General features: G+C 56.9%; 1 protein-coding gene across 6 annotated transcripts in view, besides 4 other annotated features; it reads left to right on the top strand.

Moving 5' to 3' along the window:
• GRM4 (glutamate metabotropic receptor 4) overlaps positions 1–21476 on the top strand; it is a 136980-nt gene extending 115504 nt beyond the window's left edge. For all 6 annotated transcript variants that reach the window (NM_001256809.3, NM_001282847.2, NM_001256811.3 and 3 more), the window contains 3 exons: positions 3516–4451; positions 11753–11999; positions 17249–21476. In NM_001256809.3, coding sequence (NP_001243738.1) covers positions 3516–4451; positions 11753–11999; positions 17249–17298 — 1233 coding nt within the window. In that variant the 3' untranslated portion in view covers positions 17299–21476. The remainder of the gene's footprint in view (positions 1–3515; positions 4452–11752; positions 12000–17248) is intronic.
• Positions 3078–3137: an enhancer, noted in NCBI's record as "active region_24375". NCBI's record gives its function as "activates an Ori minimal core promoter by ATAC-STARR-seq in GM12878 lymphoblastoid cells {active_cell/tissue: GM12878}" and the evidence as "EXISTENCE:reporter gene assay evidence [ECO:0000049][PMID:35858748]".
• Positions 8279–8801: an enhancer, noted in NCBI's record as "H3K4me1 hESC enhancer chr6:33999095-33999617 (GRCh37/hg19 assembly coordinates)". NCBI's record gives its function as "activates a minimal SCP1, AML or CMV promoter by ChIP-STARR-seq in naive H9 embryonic stem cells {active_cell/tissue: H9 hESC(naive)}" and the evidence as "EXISTENCE:reporter gene assay evidence [ECO:0000049][PMID:30033119]".
• Positions 12244–12413: a silencer, noted in NCBI's record as "silent region_17058". NCBI's record gives its function as "represses an Ori minimal core promoter by ATAC-STARR-seq in GM12878 lymphoblastoid cells {active_cell/tissue: GM12878}" and the evidence as "EXISTENCE:reporter gene assay evidence [ECO:0000049][PMID:35858748]".
• Positions 13586–14313: an enhancer, noted in NCBI's record as "H3K4me1 hESC enhancer chr6:33993583-33994310 (GRCh37/hg19 assembly coordinates)". NCBI's record gives its function as "activates a minimal SCP1, AML or CMV promoter by ChIP-STARR-seq in primed H9 embryonic stem cells {active_cell/tissue: H9 hESC(primed)}" and the evidence as "EXISTENCE:reporter gene assay evidence [ECO:0000049][PMID:30033119]".

The following is a 21949-nucleotide window of genomic DNA, read 5'->3' as shown; positions in this document are numbered from 1 at the left end:
GGGGGCCCAAGGGGAGGCTGCTGCTGATTAGCCCTGACCTCCAGGACCGCTGCTGCCAGGCTGGGGCTTCCTTCCCAGTGCCCTCTCCCAGACCTCAGCGGCTCTGAGGCCCCCACCCTGAAATGGAAGACAGGGCAGTCGGAGTTCTGCTGCCATTCTGGTCCCTGCCCCCTCCCTTAGCCTGGGGCCTTCTTGCCTGCTACCCACTGAGGAGGGGATGGGGGGACTCTGGATAGAAGAATTCACACCAGTGTGAAATGGCTCAAAGGCTTTTTGGGTGGGCAAGTGGGGGGTGATGGGGGGGGCATGGGGGAATAAGGTGAGGAGGGGGAGGGCTGCATTTGGACAAAGGAGGAAGTCTTAAGGCAAAGGACCCAGGTTGAACGGTGGGATTTGTGCCACTGACTGGTGGGTAGTGAGCCAGTTGCCAGTTCCCCAGCCCCATCAAAGCACGATAGAAGGCAGCCATTTTTCTGGGTCCTCCTAGCCACGCTTTCCTAGCTCATGGAATGTCCCACGGATGTGGTGACTTTCCCTCTCTGGCCCTCAGTATCCCAGCTGTGAAACAGAGCAGTGTTTTCGGAGAGAAAGGACCTTTGGTTTGTTCCTCAACAAAGTGCTTGTGGACTTGGTCTCTACCTTGCAAGGGGAAGGGGTGAGCCATAACCGGGGTGGGCCCACTGTGACCCCGTGGATAGACTGGAGAGACTCAGAGACAGGTCCTCATCTGGCCTCCACTCTCCTTGTCCTGGGATCCCGTGGGTGCTGCATCGAGGCCCCGCCGTCTCCTCTTGTCATAATCTCTTCCAGCGAGGAACCCCTCGTGCTCTGCTCTTCAAAGCACTCTTGGCCTGCAGTCTTATTTAGCCCAACCTTATCTTCTAAGTCAGAGGAAATCTCCCAGGAAAACCAGCCCTGGGGAGGCAGAAGGACTCTCCTAAAGGCCACACCGTGTGGCAGGAACAGCCTGTTCCTAAATGAGGCTCCTTGGATTGCTGTGTGGAGAGCGATGGGCACAACAGGGTGTGAGGAGCACTTGGCAAAGTGGGATAACACCAAGTCGATGTGCCCGTTTTGTTTTGGTGCAGTGGGCAGAGCACGGGGGCCGGGGACTGCAACTCACTAGCGGCAGCAGCTAGCACTTACTGAGTACCTGCTGTGTCCGAGCTGCTACTCTAAGCACGTCCCCTTGCTGTGAAGATGACAGCTCTGTGAGGCAGGCAGTTATCCCCATTTTCCAGATGTCCTAACTGAAGGTGGCAGGGACTGGGCACGTGTGGGTGGCAGTGGGCCCTTCCCCTGAAAGTCCCCTCCCCAGGAATACAAGGCCCCTCCACCGGCCAGACCGTCTTCATGGCCCATTCTGATGCAGCTCCCAATGCCCTCTTAGTCCTCCTCACCTGTAAGGCCCAGACAGAGCTGAGGTGGTGGGGGGAGGTGAGATGGGGTTGGACTTTAACCATCAACCTTCCCCACTTTCTCCGTGAGTGGCTCAGTTTGGGCTGTGCTGTGAGGGCCACAGAGCAAGCAAGGTACCTGTAACCACCTACCTGGCTACTGTCCTCCTCCAGGGTCTCAGGGTGTGGCGGCGTCGCATCACTGGTACCCTGGACCTTCTTGCCTGTGTAGTTATTCTTTCATAGATTCCACAGAGACCTGCTGGGCCTCTACTATGTGCCAGCCTGTGCTGAGGGCTGGAGACACAGCAGGGAAGTTAACACAATGCCTCTGCCCTCATGGAGCTGACGTTCTAGTGAAATATTAAAAAGTATATCCATTATGACTTCTAAATGGAGGTCACTCCAAGTAACAAAGGGCAAAGTGGCTTCATATCTGCTTTCATTGGATCAGATGAGAAAACAAAGGCTCAGAGAGGAGAAGCCATTTGCTCAAGGACGCACAGCCAGGTAGCAACAGAACTGTGATCCCAGGACTTGACCTCAGTCACTGCTCTTTCCATCTGAATCACAGAGTTTTCCGGAACACTCACCATCGCCCCGTGTCCTCTGGGGAAGGGTCTTTCCCCTGCAGTTGCACAGCTGCAGTCCACAGGGACCGTCTCGCCTCCACATTCCTGCAGGACAGGTGGCACTTGTCCTTGCTCTGTGCGCTTTGGCTTCTGAGTTAATCCACATCCTGTCATGCCCAGAGCCACAGGACAACCTTCTACCTTGAGGTTTTCTTCCTACCTTGCCACGAGGCATCCCTACTTACCCACCTTACCCCTTTCCTTTATTCTTTTTTTTTTTTTTTTTTTGAGACGGAATCTTGCTCTGTCGTCAGGCTGGAGCGCAGTGGCATGATCTTGGCTCACTGAAACCTCTACCTCCTGGGTTCAAGCCATTCTCTTGCCTCAGCCTCCTGAGTAGCTAGGATTATAGGTGCACGCCACCACACCCAGCTAATTTTTGTATTTTCAGTAGAGACGGGGTTTCACCATGTTGGCCAGGCTGGTCTCGATCTCTTGACCTCATGATCCTCCCGCCTTGCCCTCCCAAAGTGCTGGGATTACAGACCTGAGCTACCATGCCTGGCCCCTTTTCCTTTATTCTAAAGCCCTCCCCACACCCCCCAACCAGCTAGTTACACTTTATCAGGAGGTAGCACCCAGTGCAAATGCACCAGTCTAGCCAGGCTTGCTGTGCTCTGAGAGTGAGCACTTCCTAAGAGACACTTTATTTAGAACAGTCGCTTTGAATACAGCTCCCAGGTGTAGTCAAGTCCCTTTGCCTGATGCCTGAGACTCTTTTGGGACTCTCACTTTCCAGAATATTGTAACATATTCAGTAGGGTGTGACAACACTCGTGTGGCTCTATTGCTCACAGTCATTGTGTCTTCAGGGACGTGTAACTGTGGGTAGCACTAATTTAGAGCAAGATGTAAAGAAATGCTAACCCCTGAGCACACATTAAGCATCCTCTGATTAAACCTTTGTTCAGCTCTCTGCTGAATCCAACTCCCTGCTGTTTGGCAGAGGTGCCTTGGGCTGGGCCGTAGGGCAGCACATCTTCCACTCCAGTGTGCACAGGAATCATCTGGGGGTCTTGCTGAAACTCAGATTCTGAGTTAGTAGGTCTGGGATGGGGCTGGAATTTGCCTTTCCAACAAGCTCCTGGGTGAGGCTGCTGCTGCCGCCCTGGGGACCACTGTGAGCAGCAAGGCCTTAGGGGCTAAGAGTCAGGACTCTTGAGTTCTCTTTGCTCTGCACTGTTGTTTCCTGTGACTCTAGGTTGTCACTACTGCTTTCTGGGCTCAGTTTCTTCATATGAGTCTTGAGAGTTTCGGGTTCAGTCAGGATTCCCTGTAGGTCAATTATGTCTGAGTTATGCCGGAGACCTTTTTTAACTCCAGCTGTTAGATTCAGTAAGTCCCTGTGGGGTCCGGGCAGCTGGACTTTTAGCCAACTAGCTGGGTGATTTGAGTGTGGGGCTACAAGGTGCCACCACCCAGTAGGATGGTCCGGGGCACCGGGTGGCATGTTCTGAGGCCTGCTTTACGGTGCTGTCATTGCCAGATAGAGCGGATGCACTGGCCGGGGAGCGGGCAGCAGCTGCCCCGCTCCATCTGCAGCCTGCCCTGCCAACCGGGTGAGCGGAAGAAGACAGTGAAGGGCATGCCTTGCTGCTGGCACTGCGAGCCTTGCACAGGGTACCAGTACCAGGTGGACCGCTACACCTGTAAGACGTGTCCCTATGACATGCGGCCCACAGAGAACCGCACGGGCTGCCGGCCCATCCCCATCATCAAGCTTGAGTGGGGCTCGCCCTGGGCCGTGCTGCCCCTCTTCCTGGCCGTGGTGGGCATCGCTGCCACGTTGTTCGTGGTGATCACCTTTGTGCGCTACAACGACACGCCCATCGTCAAGGCCTCGGGCCGTGAACTGAGCTACGTGCTGCTGGCAGGCATCTTCCTGTGCTATGCCACCACCTTCCTCATGATCGCTGAGCCCGACCTTGGCACCTGCTCGCTGCGCCGAATCTTCCTGGGACTAGGGATGAGCATCAGCTATGCAGCCCTGCTCACCAAGACCAACCGCATCTACCGCATCTTCGAGCAGGGCAAGCGCTCGGTCAGTGCCCCACGCTTCATCAGCCCCGCCTCACAGCTGGCCATCACCTTCAGCCTCATCTCGCTGCAGCTGCTGGGCATCTGTGTGTGGTTTGTGGTGGACCCCTCCCACTCGGTGGTGGACTTCCAGGACCAGCGGACACTCGACCCCCGCTTCGCCAGGGGTGTGCTCAAGTGTGACATCTCGGACCTGTCGCTCATCTGCCTGCTGGGCTACAGCATGCTGCTCATGGTCACGTGCACCGTGTATGCCATCAAGACACGCGGCGTGCCCGAGACCTTCAATGAGGCCAAGCCCATTGGCTTCACCATGTACACCACTTGCATCGTCTGGCTGGCCTTCATCCCCATCTTCTTTGGCACCTCGCAGTCGGCCGACAAGGTGAGTGGTGGGGGCCGGGGGTGGACGGTGGGTAGGTGAGGGCAGTGAGCAAGGGGCAGCCTCCTGAGGCTGGCTGGCCTCCCCCCTGCTCCAGAAATGCCTTCTTTCATGCCTCATTCTGCCTTCTTTCTTGCCTCATTCTGCCTTCTTTCATGCCTCATTCTGCCTTCTCTCCCAGCTGCAAGTTTTCTCTCTGGGTTCTGGGTTTTCTCTCCTCTTTCTCTGTTTTTGCCCCTCTCCCTCTTCTCTCTCCCCCTTTCTCTCTGTCTCATCTCTCCTTTTTTCTCTCCTCCTTTTGTCTCCTTCAGCCCCACTTTACTCCCTCTTTCCATCCTCCCCCTGTTCTCCTTCCCCCTCCTCCTCTTTCTCCCTGTCTCTCCATCCCTGCTGCCCTTACCCCATCTCCTTTCATTCTTTCCTCCTCCTATTCTCTCACCCCTTCCCCCCTCCATAAGCCTGGAGCGCTGTACCCTCCTTCACTCTTCATTCTTTTCTAGACTCCTTTCTCTTACCTCTCTCCCTACTCAACCCTGTCTTCCTTTTGGTTCACTCCTCTCTTCTCCCTCCTCCATCTACCCCTCACAAGATCCCCATGGGACCCCCCTTCTCTCCCCAGCCCCAAGCTGCCCTGGAAGCCTAAAGGCTAGGGGCTGGCAGAGGGCCTTTCCTTCCCTTGGCTGGAGTTGCAGAGTGGCTACCTCTGCCTCCTGTTGGCTTGGTCCGAGGACCTGGGCACACCCCAAGAGACCTGTATGCTCGGCCCACATCCCAGTCCTGGTGCTGGCTGGGTGACTCGGGGGTGTTATCTGGAAGTACTGGGAGTCACTGAAGGCAGGGCATCAAGGTGCACCAAGGACCCAGGTCTTGGTCTGAGTGCCATGTATAAGTGTGGGATCTGGGCAAGCCAGTTGGCCTCCCTGGCCTCAGTTTCTTCATCAGTAAATTGGGACCATGTCCCTTTCCCTGCAGTCTTTCCAGGTATTGTCACAATCACATGACACAGTGGGTGCACAAACAGTTAATACACTGTAAGGAGTGTGGAGCTGAGGAAGCCAGAGGAGTGGGGAACGAGATCAGAGAGGTGACAGGCCAGATGGTGGCAATGACATTGGCTTTTACCATGAGTGAGAAGAGAGGCCGCTGCAGGCTTCTGAGCAGGTGAGGGTGCTATCTGATGTAGGTTGAAAAGGACCCTCTGGCTGCCAAGAGCAGCTGTGAGAAGGTCACTGTCATGCTCTGCAGGAGAGGGTGTCCCCAGCAGATGCAGTGGGGAGTGGGGGAGTCTGGGCCTGTCTGGAGACTGGCTGGTCAGGTTTCCAATGGATGGCACGTTGGGTGGGAGACGAGGAGACAGTCGAGTCAAGGAGGACACCATGCTTTGAGGCCTGAGCAATCAGGAAGGAAGGAGTTTCCCATGCTAAGGAAGAGCAGACAATGAGAGGAGCCTGGGAGGGGCAGGAGAAGGGGTCCTTTGGACATGCTAAGTTTGGGATGCTCATTAGACGTCCAAATGCAGCTGCCAAGTCAGTGGTTGAATATAGGAGTCTGGAGTTCAGGGGCAAGTTCTGGGCTGGAGACATATCTGAGGAGTTGTCAGCCTGAGCCTGGCATCTAGAGCTGTGAGCCCAAGGCTGGGTGTGGTGGCTCATGCCTATAATCCCAGCACTTTGGGAGGCTGAGGCGGGTGGATCACTTGAGGTCAGGAGTTCGAGACCAGCCTGACCAACATGGTGAAACCCTGTCTCTAGCAAAAATACAAAAACGTAGCCAGGCATGGTGGCTTATGCTTGTAGTCCAAGCTATTCAGGAGGCTGAGGCAGGAGAAATGCTTGAACTTGGGAGACGGAGGTTGCAGTGAGCTGAGATTGTGACACTGCACTCCAGCCAGGGTGACAGAGTGACAGTCTATCTCATGAAAAAGAAAAGAAAAGAAATAAAGAGAGAGAGAGGGAGAGAGAAAGAAAGAGAAAGAGAGAGAGAGAGAGAAAGAGAAAGAAAGAGAGAGAAAGAAAGAGCGAGCTGTGAGCGCCAGTCTGAGCTCCCAGGGTTGCCTAGTTTTCAGTGAGGCAGCCATGGGATGGGGTGCTCGTCATGTGGAGACAGTTTACCTAACGGCCGTTTGGCCCCATGGCAGCTGGTGAGGTCTCATCATCCCCTGCTTACAGATGAGGACTCAGGGGCACAGAGAGGGGGAGTGACTTGCCTTGGTGGCACAGCTGGACTTGTCCCCACTTTGTCTAACTTAGGAGCACCCCCCCATCCCCAGCACACCCTTCCCCCCTGCAGCTCTGGGATACCTCATGCCCTGGGACTTCCTTGGTAGGTGCCCACCTCTTTTCCAACAGCTCCTCAAGGGTCATCTTCCAATGGGGGCCCTGTGGGGGCCCTAAGAGGCAGACCTTGGGGCTGGCAGTGAGTGTCCTAAGATCTGAGATCTGAGACTGGGTCTGCTTCAGCAGGGGGATCCCACCTTGCAAGCCTGAGCCAAGCAGCCCTGGTGCAGCCATGGCGCCCGGCCCATGCTGTGAGCTGGGTCTCTGGCCTCCACCAGGCCTGCTGTGGGAGACCCTCCCTGCTGAGCGCAGGTGCAGGCAGAGGCCCTCACGCCTCTCAATGCTCATGGGCCCCATGGAGCCAGCAGGGAGGCCATCCCATACCCCAGGAAACTGGCAGCTTGAGAAATTACCCTCAACAATACCAGGAGGCCCCTTCCCACACCTCCTCAGGGAGTAAAGGTACCTGGCTGGGAGGCCCACACGTGATGGTTAAGCCCCTCCCTCCACCTTGCCATATTTCCCCCTGGCTGCCTGCCAGCAGCCCACTCCCCAGTGGGGTCCCTGTCATCCCAGGATATCAGGCTCTCCAGTCTCCAGATGTTGCAACCCAGCCCCCCAACTCAGCCTCCCTACCCTTTCAATCTCTGCAGGTGACCTACCAGCCTCTGATTCCTGCCTTTTTAGGAGGCTCCCCCAGCCAGCCCTGATTATGAAGGGAGTCCCTGAGATGATCAGTTCATAGGCCCAGAGAGGGACAGGGACTTGTCCCAGGTCATACGACAGGCTGGCCTCACACCAGTGTGCTCTCTCCCTGGTGGCCTAGGACATGGGACATACACCTCTCCCACTCTGGGCCTCTGAACGGGAGGCGGTGGAGGACATGTGTTCTGAAGTTCCTGCGGTTCAGACTACCAGGCTTCTTAGAGACTCAGGCAACCTGGGGCTGTGTCTGGGCCATGTCATGCCGAGCTGCAAGATGCCCCAGTGCAAGCTGCAGGTCTGGCTGCTAAGTGTGTGTGTTTGCATGTAGATCAAGCGGGGTGTGGCTGTTGTCAGGAGTTGTGGTGTGCCTACAGAGGTGTGTGTGTATAGACGTGTGTGTGCCTTTCTGTGCATGTACATGCTCAGTGGTGCATGTGTGGTGTGTGTGCACAGGTGTGTGCCCATGTGCATGCAGATTAAGCGGGGATGGGTTGATGGGTGTGCTGAAGGGTATGTAGCTGCTGGTGTGTGTATGGATGTGTAGGCTGAGCATATGTGCCCAGGAGTGTTTGTGCACACAAGTGTGCAGATGTGTGAGTGCAAATGTTAGTGAGTGTGTGCAGGTGGATGTGTGTAGATGTGTGAGTACATTTGTGTCTATGTATATGTGTGTACCCATGTGTGAAGAGGTGTGTGTGTGTGTGTGTTTGTGTGTGTGTGAGAGAGAGAGAGAGAGAGCCCAGCTGAGTCAGATGCAAATGTGCAGCTGTGAGGTCAGGTGTATGTGTCAATGCAGGTACGTACGTGTATATTGATGTGTGTGTGAGCAGGCATGCATGTATGCACACACGCACTTGCACATGCTCAGCTGCACCCGTTCCCCCAGGGTTCAGGTGCTGTCACAGAGTGAAGCTGTCTGTGCCACTCTGGTGAGCAGGCGGCTGGATTTCCCAGCCTTAGCCCGGATTTCCAGGGCTTAACACCACAGCCATTTGGAATTACACTGAGCGGGCTTTCTCCACTACGTGGGGTTACTGCTCAGTCATGCTTGGGCAGGACGTGGCTGCAGAGGCAATCAGGGTGTGGGGAAGTTTATTTGTCTGGTTTGTACAGATTTGGAGGATCTTGGTTCCTATCAGGGTCAGCCGGCAGAAGCACAAGGCAGGCAGAGCTCCCTGGTGCCCCCACTGGGGCCCCTCGAACCCTGTACCCACCAGGCCTAGCACGAAAGCAGGAAATTCATCATCCACATCTACAGCTGCTCCTTCCTGTGCCCTATCCTCACCCCAGGTGTCCTCTGTCCTCCTGTATCAAACTCAGCTCAGACAAGCTCCTTCACCATGGGGAGCACATGACTAGTGAGGTTGAATGCAGGATTCCTCATGGAGGATGGAGTGCAGTGAGGGCCCATCCACACAGGAGAGCAGGGATGGTGGGAGTTCAGGCACCAGCGGGCTAAGAGGCAGGTGGGTGGGAGAGGAGGGGAGATCATAGCCCGAAGGCCGCCTCTCGCTCTACCTCCCTTTAGGACCTTCCTGGTGCCTGGGTTCAGCCCCTCGGGAGTGCCTGCTGGGGTCTAGAGGACCACTGTTTCTCTGATAAGGGTTAACCTGCTACCACCTCCTGGTGGCCATGTGTACCTTCACAGAGGGGGCTCCAGAAACAATGTCTGACCCAGAGGCAGGCTCCCATGGTGGGGCTCAAATTCCACACCCTGGGGCAAGGAGCAGAACTGGCGGTGGGCAGCCCCACTCCTGCTGTGTACAGGGCCTACCTCCCAGCTGGGGATGGCTAGAGGAGCCCCCAGGGCCCATGCTGGGAGGGAGGGTTTTGATCTATTTATATCCCTTGAATTTTGTTCGCAGAAAGGCTCCTAGGCTGAAAAACAATATAGAAGAGAATACCAATGACTGTGCCCATGCCTGTGTTGAGAGTTGGCTATATAATTTTCAGCGCCCAGCACAAAATGAAAACGAAGGGCCCACTGTTCAGAAATTATCCACGATTCAATATGGTGGCAGAAGGACCTTAAACTGAGAGCTAGGCACAGGCCCCTGGGTGACTGCACAGGTTGTACACTCATAGCGCTGGCCCTGCCTGTGTTCATGGAGGGGCATCTGGTGCCCAGAGAGGGGTGGAAACTTGTTAGCATCCCACAGTGGGCTGAGGCAGAGTAGAATCTGGAACCCAGGACGCTGGCCCTCGACATAGAACTGTGTCCACTGCAAGGGTTCCTCTGCCCAGAGAAGGGCCTCAATCCCTGGTCCCACCAACTCCATGTGGGCCCAATTGCACTGCACCCATCAACAAGGAGCAGGCAAAGGGTCTAAGATGGGTGTCTTACCTGGGACACAACCCCTATTTCCAAGAACCCCCAGTGTGAGAGGAGAGCCAGCCCTGCCCTCAGGGAACCCTGATGTAATCAGGGAGACACACCTTGTCCCTAGGGAACTCCTAGTCTCATGGTGAAGACCCAGATGACAAGCCTATTCTCCATTAGCCCGAGACTCTACGATATTCCCCAAGCGTCTGTTTTGATGCTCTGGAGCTTCTTCCTGCCTTCTCACCCTGGCCACCAGCCCCAGTTTGGGCAGGAGAGACGGCCAGCACGGCCCCGCTGGCTGGTCATGACCTTTCCCTCCAGGAGAGCTCCATGCCCAGGGGTGAGAGTGTAAGTAGTATCTGAGGATGGAGGCCTGTCTGTGTCTGGAGCGGCATGTGCTCACTGGGGGACAGGCTTTCATTTTCCCTGGGCCTGTGACATTTCCCTGAACCAGTGGCCACTCTCGGCCTCCTTCCCCTCGGAGCTCTGCCTGACCTGGGCCACGCCAGCCTGGAGGCTGCACTTTGAGGAGTGTCAGTGCCTTGGCTTGGGCACATCATGGCTGTCCGGTCATGCCCCCGTGTCCCCCATGTCTCTTCTCCTCACCTTCATCTCAGTGCCTGCGGTCACTAAAAGCAAGTTTCACATGGCTTCACAGTCTGTGCTTGGGGTACCCTCATGGTTTGGGTGAGGTAGCTGCTTTCATCCCATTGCACTGAGGGAAAAACTGAGGCCCACAGAAGGGCAGGATTCTCCTTTTAGGCCCTATGGCTTCTCCAGTCCCTCTCCCAAAGGTAGGAAACCCAGGGCAGGGTGGCTGGAAATGAAGGTCATCCCATCCAGTGTCATGAGGCATCTATGGAGCGGCGTGCAAGGGACAGGGAGGAATATAAGAATGGGAAGACCTGGTCCCTACATGGGGGGTACTGCCAGATGAGGCCAGGGCCCCTGTGCCTTCAGGAAACAAGTCCAGACCTGTGTCCACACTGCTGGTCTGGGTAGAAGAAATGAAGGGTATCATGGGGGCCCATAGAGCTGGGGGTCAGGAGAGGATTCCTGGAGGAAGCACACCAGCCATGTACCAGGGCAGGACCCAGGCTCAGAAAGAGCAGATTTGGGAAAGAGCATTTCCTGCTTCCTTCATGCCCAGACCCAGGAGGCCTAGCCTGGGTCTCCTTTGGTCCCACCTTGGCTGAGGAGGTTCAGAGGGGCGGCTGAGGCCTGGAGGACCCGAAGGAAGGGAGAGGCAGGGAGGGGAATCCCAGACGGGGACAGTGGGAATTGCCGGACCCTGCCTGGAAGGCTCTACTATTGTAAAATGGATTATCCGACACCCAGATTAATGGGCTTTCATTTTGCTAAACATCTGTCACTGTTAGTGCTGGCGAGCGAGCATGAAATGAGCTCTGACTGCTGCCACCACCATATCGCGATGGGTGCCGAGGATCCCATGCTCTGCACTGGGGGACCGTTGCGGGGGCAGTCATTGAATGGAGGTCTGATCCGAGGGGCTGTGACGTGGCCACTGGGTGTTATCCCAAAGCACCAAGGGGTGCTCCTCTCGCCCTCAGCCCTGAGAAGGGCCAGCTGTGGTCTCCTGAGAGCCTCTCCTCAGGCGCACGTCCTCCACATAGCAAATAACAGCGGTAACCTGAAATGGCACTTACCATGTGCCAGATGTTTTCCACACTTTTAAAACATTTATTAAGTCACTTAATTCTCACAACAGCCCTAGGAGGTAAGTACTATCATTATCACGCCCACATTATACGTGAGGAAACTGAGGCACAAGGATGTGACGTGTCTAATATCACACAGCTGGAAGTAGTGAGCCAAGATTTGAATGCAGAAACCCTGGTCTGCAGTCCCAGCTCCAAGCCACGACTTCCTTCTGCCTGAAGGCAGCGGGATGCCGGGTGGGTCCCTGGGTGGGAACTGGCGGGAGTCAGGGCCCTCAGTCGGGGCAGAGCCTGCTCTGACGCCACCGTGCCCTCCGCCAGCTGTACATCCAGACGACGACGCTGACGGTCTCGGTGAGTCTGAGCGCCTCGGTGTCCCTGGGAATGCTCTACATGCCCAAAGTCTACATCATCCTCTTCCACCCGGAGCAGAACGTGCCCAAGCGCAAGCGCAGCCTCAAAGCCGTCGTTACGGCGGCCACCATGTCCAACAAGTTCACGCAGAAGGGCAACTTCCGGCCCAACGGAGAGGCCAAGTCTGAGCTCTGCGAGAACCTTGAGGCCCCAGGTGAGTGCCTGGCCCCGTTCTGCCCTCTCGGGCCCCAGGCCCCGCTCCTTTTGCAGCAGGTGGGCTGAGCTCCTGCCCCTCCCCACCCCGCCCTGCCCCGATGCCCCATCCTGGGGAGGCGGCGGGGGACACTGGGGGAACCCTGAGGCTACAGGTGGGAGCCAGCCTCTCAGGGAGAGCCCTGAGGCACCACATTAGAGCCCGTTCTGTCCTGCCCCTCCTGGTGGCCTGGAGAGAACCTCAAGGTTTCCCCAGCTGGTGCCCTAGCAGCGCCCTTCCAGGGATCTGTGCCCCACCCCGAGGCAGGCCACCAGGGGGCGCCTGGGCCCTGAGGGTGAGCGGGGACCCCGGGATTTCCCTGTGCTGGGGCCTGGGTCTCTGCCTGTGCCCCTGCCTGTGCCCTTTCAGCCCCTCTGGGAGAAGGAATCGTCCCCGGGGCCCTGCACACTGGCCCTTTGGTAACCCGGTGGGGTGGGAGCGGCCCTGAGCCCAGAGCAGCTGTAACACCCAGCTCGGCTTTGTTCAGCCACCCCCTAGCAGGCACCTGAGCTATGGGGACCCGGGACATGGGCCGGCCAGGACCGGTGAGTGAGGGCAGGGTGAGGCAGAGGGGCCTACAGGACTGCCTAGCGGCGCTCAGGTAGTTGCCTGTCTGGGGGACTGTCCGGGGAGACCCAGCAGGAAAGGGTCATGCTTTGTGGTGGGGGAGGGCACCAGGCAGGGACCTCGGCAGCTGAGGGGCAGGCCTGTGGTCTGGAGCTGGCCAGGACAGGTCCCTCCAGGGCTGGTAACGGAGCAGTGCCACCATCTTTGCCAACTTCCCTCTTCCTCGGAGATCCAGCCTGTGCACCTCTGTTGTGGAGAGTATACTGGCTTCTGATACCCTTCCCTCTCTGATCAACACCCCTGATGCCTGTGTGTCCCCCTTTTCCTGCCCTGCGACCTCTGGTTCTTTCCAGTCCTCCTCCTCCCCACAGAACACCAGCTTCCCTCAACCTACGACCCTGGGGTTCCCTTCGGGTGCCATGCTGGCCCCCATGCAGAGCGGGGAAGGGACAGAGGGGCCCATGGGACTCCCACCTTTGGCCTTTCATGTCTACCTGGATGTTCGGAAACCCCAGATGAAGTCCTGACCAGGCCTTTCTGCCAAATTGGGGACCCTCTCCCTGTTCCAGTTTTCCTCCTTCCCATGGAGACCTTCCTTCCCAGGTCCCAGGTCCTGTTCCATCCAGACCACCTCTCTGCTGCGTGCAGGAGCAGGTCTGTCAGATATGCTTTTCCCCAGTGCTCCTGAGAGCTAGGGGGTATTAGCCCCTCCCGGAGGTGACACCCTGGCCCCAAAGGGTGACACCGCGGGTGCTGTGACAGGGCAGAGGGTCCCATAAAGGGTGGGGCCCTCACAGAGAGCTCTGATGGCTCAGTACGGGTACTGCCCTCTGCCTCTGCTCCAGCCAGTCACCTGGGAACATGGGACAATTACCCACTCCTGCCAGAGGAGGGGTGTGGAGGCCTGGGGAGGGAGACCCCGTATCCCCAGGCCCCTGCTTCCTGCCCAGAGGGGCCTGGGGGTCTCCAGGCTGTGGGGCAGCCCCCATGGGCCTCACTTCCAGCTGCTCTGGGGTTGGGAGGGACCGAGGGGTCTGTGGTCACCCAGACCCCCTGCAGGCCTTGGCATCCTCCCCTCTGAAAGTCTTAGGGGCTTCCATGGTAGGGAAGTGGGGAGCCCCTCTCCCCACCTCCTGTGTGAAGGGCAGCAACCAGCACCCTGTGCCCCCACTGTCTCTCAGCTCAGTGACAACAGGGGCCATGGAGGCACCGGGCAGGAGCCAGGTGATTAATTCTGGGGACAGCCGGATGGAGGGGGTGTGAGCAGGAGGAGTGGGAAGGTGTCACTCCTGTGGAACAGGGACATTTTTCACTCTGTCACTGGCAGGCTACATATCTTTAAACAAACAACAGAATAAATAATTCAGGGGCCTGATTGCAGGCAGATTGGGTGCGGAGACAAGGGGTGACAAACGGGGACTGTCAGCTGGTGCCTAGCACTGCCTGGCTAATTGTTATCTGCGCCTCCGGCAACTGAAAACCAGCAGCCAGGGCCTATTGTCAGCACCGGGTGGGCTCGGGGCCTCGGCCCACACCCCTTGGCCTTCCCCTCACACTGAGGGTGCTCCGGGAGTGTTGCTGTCCCTATCCAGTCCCCAGTGCTGGAATAATTCCAGCCCTGTCCTTCTGCCCAGCATTTTGCAGGATTTAAAGAGTGTTTCTGTTCACCTCTTGGCTGACCCCACGTGGTGTTTATTATCACCCCATCTTACAGATGAGAGACTCTCGGCTCTGAGAAGGTCAGTTTGTTAGAAGGGCCACATGGCAGGTGTCGAGATTCCCCCACAGCATTGCGGGCAGGACTGGTCCCCAAGTGTCCTGACTTCCGGTGAACCTTTCCCTTGGAGCCTCACTGTTAGCTCATGGGGGCCCTGGGCAGACTCACGGCTCCCATTTTCCAGATGGTGAGACTGAGGCTTGGGTGAAGAGCTCCCCAGCTTCTGGAACCTGTGAGCTGGGTTTTCTAGGGCAGACAGGTAGGGCATTAGAGGAGAGCAGAGGCCCTGTGGTCCTTCCTCTCTACACTTTCTCTAGTCTGCAGCTGCCCCTGGTGCCCCTCAGCTGCCCTCAGGCTCGCATCCCCTGCAGTCAGTGGAGATTTTGTTGTGGCTGCTGAGAGTTTTTTTCACCTCTGAGCCAGGAGCTGCTGATGGGTTTTACAGGCTTGGAAGCTCAGTTTTATCAGTTCCCCCAGGGGGTGACGGAGCTCTGGGGAATTGATTCTCACCAGCCTGGCCTGCTGTGATTCGCATAGCCACTGCTGTTCCTTTTCTGACCATGGGGGATAGAATGGGGTGAAGATGTTGGAGGCAGTTGGAAGCCCCTCAGGAGAAGTAGTCTAGGCAAAAAGGGCCACTTTGCTCAAGTTACAAGCAGGGAAACTGAGGCCCAGCAAAGGAGGGGAAGAGCTGCCTGAGGCTCAGAGAGAGTGTGAGGCCTCCCAGCAACTAGAATCTCGGCTCCCGCCCTCAGGGTGCTGGTCTGTGCTCATCTCCCTCTCAGCACCTGCCATCCCAGGCTACCTCCTGGATGCTGCCCCATCCAAAATGACCTGTCCTGTGGTCCCTCTGCCCTCTTGGTCATCCAGCACCCTGGAAGGACATGGGTCATTTCAGAGATGAAGGTGGGAATTCTTCATGAGCTGTAAGGTGCCATGCTGTGTTCTTATTCTTTTTTTGGATGTTGTGGCACCATTTTCTTCCATTGGCACCTGTCCAGGTAGCACATAAACCTTGAAACTTGCCCACCACCATCCGGCTAAGTGATTCTTCATCGTCTGCTTGAATTTTTCTGTTGACAGGGAGCTCATAGGCCACTGACTCCACCCAACTCTGGCCAGGAGAAAATTCTTCCTTTAACTGAGCTGGACCCTGACCTTCATGCCTCCCTACTGGTCCCATGGTGGACCCCTCTGCTCACCCCATCCTCAAGCAGTTTGCTTCGTCCACATGTGATAGACTGATAGTTGGACACCAAACTTCTGCCTGTGTTAGTGGGCTTCCAGTTACACTGCTGTGACAAAGAGGTCCCAGAACTGAGCAGCTCAAATCAGACAGATGTTTGTTGCTCTCTGCCGTAATAGGACATGGTGGGTGGGTGGGAGTGAGGACCCAGGATCCTTCCATCTTGTTGCTCCATTGGCTCCCTGAAGATTGAGGCTAGATGACCTCAATGGTTGTTCTGCTCATGGAAGGGAAAAGAGAAGACGCATGGGGGAAAGACCCATTTTAATTGAATGACATGGGAGCTGCACACAGTCCTTCCATGTGTATTTCATGAGGAAGAACACAGTCAGGTAAGGCCTCAGCTAGCTGCAAGGGAGGCTGGGAAACCTAGTCCTTCAGAGTCATGTGCCCAGTGAAATAGGGGAGAGAGGATCGGGGGGACAATTTGTAGACCACCACACTTGTCCCCCAGTTTTCTCTTCTCCAGATGCCCCTGGCTGAGTCTGGCAGATGTGCCTCCTTTTTGAGCCAACAGATCCTGACCGAGGGTCAGGGCAGCTTTTAGACAAAGGACAGCTGGTTTCTCCCACCCACTGCTTCTCTCCAGACTCGCAGATCAGCCCCTGCCCCAGGCAGCAATACTGCCCTGATTACCACCACTGAGGCGGCTCCCAGGCCACTGAGGGAGGCCCTAAACCCTGGCTAGACAGGACAAAACCAAGGGTCTGGCCAGGCCCCTCACCCCTCTGGCCTCAGTTCCTCATCTGTCAAGTTGGGCAATGCTTCATTGGCTGCCTCACTAGGCTGCTGTGGGGTCTGCACTCTGGAGGGGTGGGGGACACTCACACTGCTCATGAGAGCTGCTGGCGTCACTCAGCTGTGGACAGGAATGGGAGATACCCCCATGTACCACCCCAGTCCTGGTGTGGAGTAAGGGCCAGAGGGACAGGGGCAGAAAAGGGGGGCTCAAGACTGAGAGAGACAGGGGCACCAAGAAGTAGAAAGGGTAGGTGCTCAGAGGGCCCTGGGGATCTGGGGGACTTGTGTTTCCTTGGGTGTAGGGCGGAGGGCTGAGTCAATCGCATGCCTCAGTTTCTAGCCATGCACGGCCCCACTCTGGTTTTCATTATTTATTTCCTCTGTCCCTGTTCCCCACTCTCTTCCCTTAGGCCACTGTTCTAGTTTAATGTATATTCCTTACATGTGCGCATCCAAAATGCGTGTGGTTGAACTTCTGAAAGACTTCCCTTTGATAATATTTTAAGGTTATATGATGTCATAAAAAAAGGTTTCTTTTGAAGGGTGGTAGAATTAGGAGGTGGCAGGGGCCCCGTGCTGGGGAGCCCCTCACACAGGAGTGGGGTTTGGGAAGGAGTGCTAGAGGAAGGAGTCATCTCTAGAGTACAAAGGGAAGAGGAAAGGCACTCCAGGCAAGCAGCCCAGCCCGGCAAAGGCGTGGAGGTGCGAAACATGGGCCCAGTCCCTGGATGGGGAGCTAGGAACAGCAGGAGAAGCAACCGGGTGGGCCAGGCGGGGCCGGTGCAGTTTGGGGCAGTGTCGATTGCTCAGCTCAGGACTGGATGCCATGAGAGGCGGGGAGCTATGGTAGGTTCTTGTGCAGGGCTGTGCCCATGTGGAAGGACAGTTTGAGAAAAGCAGCCCCTGACTCCTGGGTACCCCTGGTCTCTCTCCTTCCAGCGCTGGCCACCAAACAGACTTACGTCACTTACACCAACCATGCAATCTAGCGAGTCCATGGAGCTGAGCAGCAGGAGGAGGAGCCGTGACCCTGTGGAAGGTGCGTCGGGCCAGGGCCACACCCAAGGGCCCAGCTGTCTTGCCTGCCCGTGGGCACCCACGGACGTGGCTTGGTGCTGAGGATAGCAGAGCCCCCAGCCATCACTGCTGGCAGCCTGGGCAAACCGGGTGAGCAACAGGAGGACGAGGGGCCGGGGCGGTGCCAGGCTACCACAAGAACCTGCGTCTTGGACCATTGCCCCTCCCGGCCCCAAACCACAGGGGCTCAGGTCGTGTGGGCCCCAGTGCTAGATCTCTCCCTCCCTTCGTCTCTGTCTGTGCTGTTGGCGACCCCTCTGTCTGTCTCCAGCCCTGTCTTTCTGTTCTCTTATCTCTTTGTTTCACCTTTTCCCTCTCTGGCGTCCCCGGCTGCTTGTACTCTTGGCCTTTTCTGTGTCTCCTTTCTGGCTCTTGCCTCCGCCTCTCTCTCTCATCCTCTTTGTCCTCAGCTCCTCCTGCTTTCTTGGGTCCCACCAGTGTCACTTTTCTGCCGTTTTCTTTCCTGTTCTCCTCTGCTTCATTCTCGTCCAGCCATTGCTCCCCTCTCCCTGCCACCCTTCCCCAGTTCACCAAACCTTACATGTTGCAAAAGAGAAAAAAGGAAAAAAAATCAAAACACAAAAAAGCCAAAACGAAAACAAATCTCGAGTGTGTTGCCAAGTGCTGCGTCCTCCTGGTGGCCTCTGTGTGTGTCCCTGTGGCCCGCAGCCTGCCCGCCTGCCCCGCCCATCTGCCGTGTGTCTTGCCCGCCTGCCCCGCCCGTCTGCCGTCTGTCTTGCCCGCCTGCCCGCCTGCCCCTCCTGCCGACCACACGGAGTTCAGTGCCTGGGTGTTTGGTGATGGTTATTGACGACAATGTGTAGCGCATGATTGTTTTTATACCAAGAACATTTCTAATAAAAATAAACACATGGTTTTGCACCCGGGCTCCACATCCACTGAGGGTCCTGCCATGGGACCACAGGCTCAGCCTGCAGCTGGAGGGCTTAGACCTAGAGGGAAGCGGGAACTGGGCTCTGGAGACCCAGGGCTTGGGGGCTGTGGAGACTGCTCCCTAGGCTGGGATCTAGTGTGGTGTGGTGAGGCCTTGGGCATGGAGGGGCCAGATTCCCAGGTAAGGGGCAGGGACATTGCAGGAAATTCCAGGAATCAGCACCTAGTAGTCCCCTAATTAGGGGGTATGCTCTGTCCCCTGCCCTGCAGCCCTGGGAGGGTAACATTTCTGCCTTGCCTGTCCTCTGTCTCACACCCCTCACACCTGGGACTGCCCTTCCACCCCTGCCCCCATAACCTGTGCCTCTCTCCTTCCAGCCAGGAAGTCCTCTTCTTGAGAAGTTAGCTTCCCGGGCTGCCAGCACTCATAGCCGTCCCCTCCTGCTTGTGTTGGCTCCAGGCTCGGGTGCTAAGAAGATGTGTGTCTGTCCTGGAGATCAGTGTGTTGTTATGTGTCCACGTGGGCCCACAAGTGCACGGCACAGGCATGGCCGTGTGGCTGTGTTGGCTGTGTTGGCTGTGTGTCTGTGTGCACGTCCAGCGCCTCCATGCGCATGCGTGCCTGTCTTGTTTGCGTGTCTGATCATCTGTTTGGGCCCCGGTGGCTCATGCAGATGCCTGTCTCAGGCCCATGGCGAGTGTTCACCTCAGCTGGCTTCCCTGGCAGGTTGGGAGGTGGGAAACAGGAGCGCTTAGGGGCTGGGCTCTGGCTGGGGTAAATTATAGAGCCAGAAACACAATGAGGCCATAGGCAGCAGCTGGAGCCTGGGCTGCCTGTGCCGTCCCCTCCTGCCCTGCCCCTGGGTCCTGCACCCCCTCCCACCTCCAGGCTAGCTGACAGCGCTATGGAGCACAGTGGAAGGGACTGGAGGAACCCTAGGCAGGGGGCCACGCAGGGACAGAGTATGAGAGTGTGTGTATAACTGAGGCTGGGACATTGAATCATGCCAGGTATGTCTTCTCCATCAGCCCACTCTTACTCCTGGCCTGGGCATCTCACACATCTGTGCATAGGAAATCTCTTCTTCCCTGGGGTCTGTGTGCAGCACCTAGTAGATGCTCAATAAATGTTTGTGTGAGGGAAGGAGACAGGAAAGGAAGTGTCTCGCTGATCATCTTGCGGAATGGTTCCTAAGACCTCTGCCCAGGAAAGATTCCACCCAGTGCTCCAGCCCGGTCAGGCAGAACTAGGTTGCCAGATCAAGGGTATCTCCCAAAAGCTTCCAGGGCAGTTGGGGGTGGGGGGGTGGGGGGTAGGGATGGGGAATGCAGAAGCGGGTGCAGCCAGCTCTCCCCCAGGGTGACTCTGGCAGCACCCCCATCCTGGGCACCCTGCCTGCTCTGTGGCTCACGCCCCTCCTGAAGTGACTGATGCTCTGAGGCCCAAGGCTAGGTCCAGGGCAGGGCCTGCAGGGGTTTCATGCTCAGTCCAGGACTTGCCTAGGTCCCCCTACATCTGTGGGGCCCCCATCTAGGTTCTAACAGGAGAATCACCTCTCCAAGGGGGATGCTGCCCCTCGGCTCCCCTTGGCTCTCAGGAGGGGCCCTCAGGGACTACCAGTCCCCTGCCAGTGGGAAGAAATAGCCCTGCCCTCAGGGAGCTTCCAGTGTGATGGGGGAGATACAGCAGACTGTGTCCCAAAGTAAAATGACTGTTAGAATGAGGTGGGTGGAGGAGGGAAGCCTTGGGTGGGTGTGACTTTGGGCATCTGAGCCTGGGGTGCAGAGGTGGGCTCTGTGGGCCTGAGGTGGACAGGAGGGAACCAGGCCCTAGCAAGACTTTTGCCAGCTAGACCTGCTGCAGCAGTTGGGAGGGTGGGTGCTGCTGGAGTCCTGGGTCCATCACCTAGAAGGCTCAGGCCAGTGCAGCCAGGGCTGGGGCCCACAGCTGGCCTGGGTGGGACCTGCCCTGATGCCCATGGCAGGAGGGACGCCTGGCCCTTCACAATTGGCTTGGCTGCTCACCTTTGCTCTCATCCTCAATTATTAATGACTGGAGAAAGCTGCTAAGTATCTTCAGAATGTTAGATTTCAACAAGATGGGGGGTTCAGGGTCCCTGGCACCCTGGATAGGGAGCCAGCGGCCCCTAGAGACCTTTGCTGTGTGCAGGGGGTATGTGCTCACCCCCGTGGCCTCAGCCTCCTCAATGTCTGAATGAAGGATTGGGCTAGCAGACATCCCACCCCACAGCACACTTTCTAACCAGCAGGGGAACTTCTAGACAATAGAGACGCTGGGCTCCCTCCAGAACACTGGACCTGAACTTCTGGGGGGAGGGCTGGGCACGGGCATATTTTAAAAGCTCCCCAGCAGATGGGCCGTGCAGTCAAGTGGGCCAAGAGTGGCACCAGACTTTGGGGCTTGTGAAGTCAGGAGGGAGCAACAGTGCCCACTCGAGCTTGCCTGGGGCTCAAGCCCAAGGCTGGGCTGCTGCCAGCCTGAGCAGACACCCAGGAGCTTCCAGGCCAGCTGGATGCACAGGGCACCTTTGTGGAACTCCTAGGACCCTGGGGAGACCCACCTCAGGAGCAGAGTCTCAGGTCCCTTCCGGCTCTGAGGGGCTGTTCTGAGCTCTAATGTCTTATGGTCTGCCCCTCCCATCCTTACTTCTCAGGCCCTGGAGGCAGAGGCATAGAGCCAGGCAGGACAGAGGTCTCAGTGGGCCACATGCCAGCTGCCCCCACACTGCCTCAGCCTCCAGGCCTCCAAGGGGTCCTGGGGAGCCCCTGAGAAGATGCTGAGCCTGCATAAGGCTGGGCGCCCCTCTTTCTGACACCCTCACTGGCTCCACGGCTCCCCCTTCCCATCCCAGGTTTCCATCTGCCCACTGAACAGGGAGGGGAAACTGAGGCACTCCCCTGGCACTGAGGGCTCCTTCTGTCATCCTGCCTGCCCTGGATGGTCCTGGCTGCCCCTCAGGGCTTGGCCCTGGCACTGTGAGCCTCACAGGGCTCAGACCCCCACCCCCAACCCAGCACTAAATGGCACTCGGCACCAGAATCTCACTTCAGTTGGCAAAAGCAGCAATTAGCATGTAATGAGGCTTCTTGCTTTATTTTTAGGTAACCTCCAAGGCCCTGCCTGTGTAATTCAGCCCGCCATTGCTCGGTGGATAATTAAAGCATGTCACCATAATTTGCCTTTTTTTTCTATAAAGCACCATAATTATGTTTTTATTGCGAGTGAGGGGGGGAAGGGGGGAGGGAGAAGACAAAGAAAGGTGGAGTTGGGGTAGGAAATGGGGCCTGGCTCCTTCAGCCAGACCTCCTCCTACTCCATCCACAGAACCAGGACCCCCACCCCCATTCTGGGTGCAGCTACCCCCTGGGACCCACTTAACTTCCAGGGCACCTCTTCTCCCTTTTCTTATAAAACCAGCCCCAGTTCGCTTCAAAGTACACAGGGCAGGGAGCAGCAGAGCTGAAGCCAACGTGGCCAAAAGTGGATGATTCTTGAGCGGGCAGTCTTTATCCTGCTCTCCTTCCTGTATATCGGGAAAATTTCCATAATGAGTTAAACAGAGCTCCACCCCCAGGAAAGGGTTTGCTGACTGCAGGGCAACTGGTATCTGCCCTCAGGGCACTTCTTTCTTTCTGACTATGAGGTGA

Source organism: Homo sapiens, chromosome 6, assembly GCF_000001405.40.
Source record: "Homo sapiens chromosome 6, GRCh38.p14 Primary Assembly".
Lineage (NCBI taxonomy): Eukaryota > Metazoa > Chordata > Mammalia > Primates > Hominidae > Homo > Homo sapiens.
Note: the sequence above shows the minus strand (reverse complement) of the source record. Positions and strands in the feature narration are given on the sequence as shown.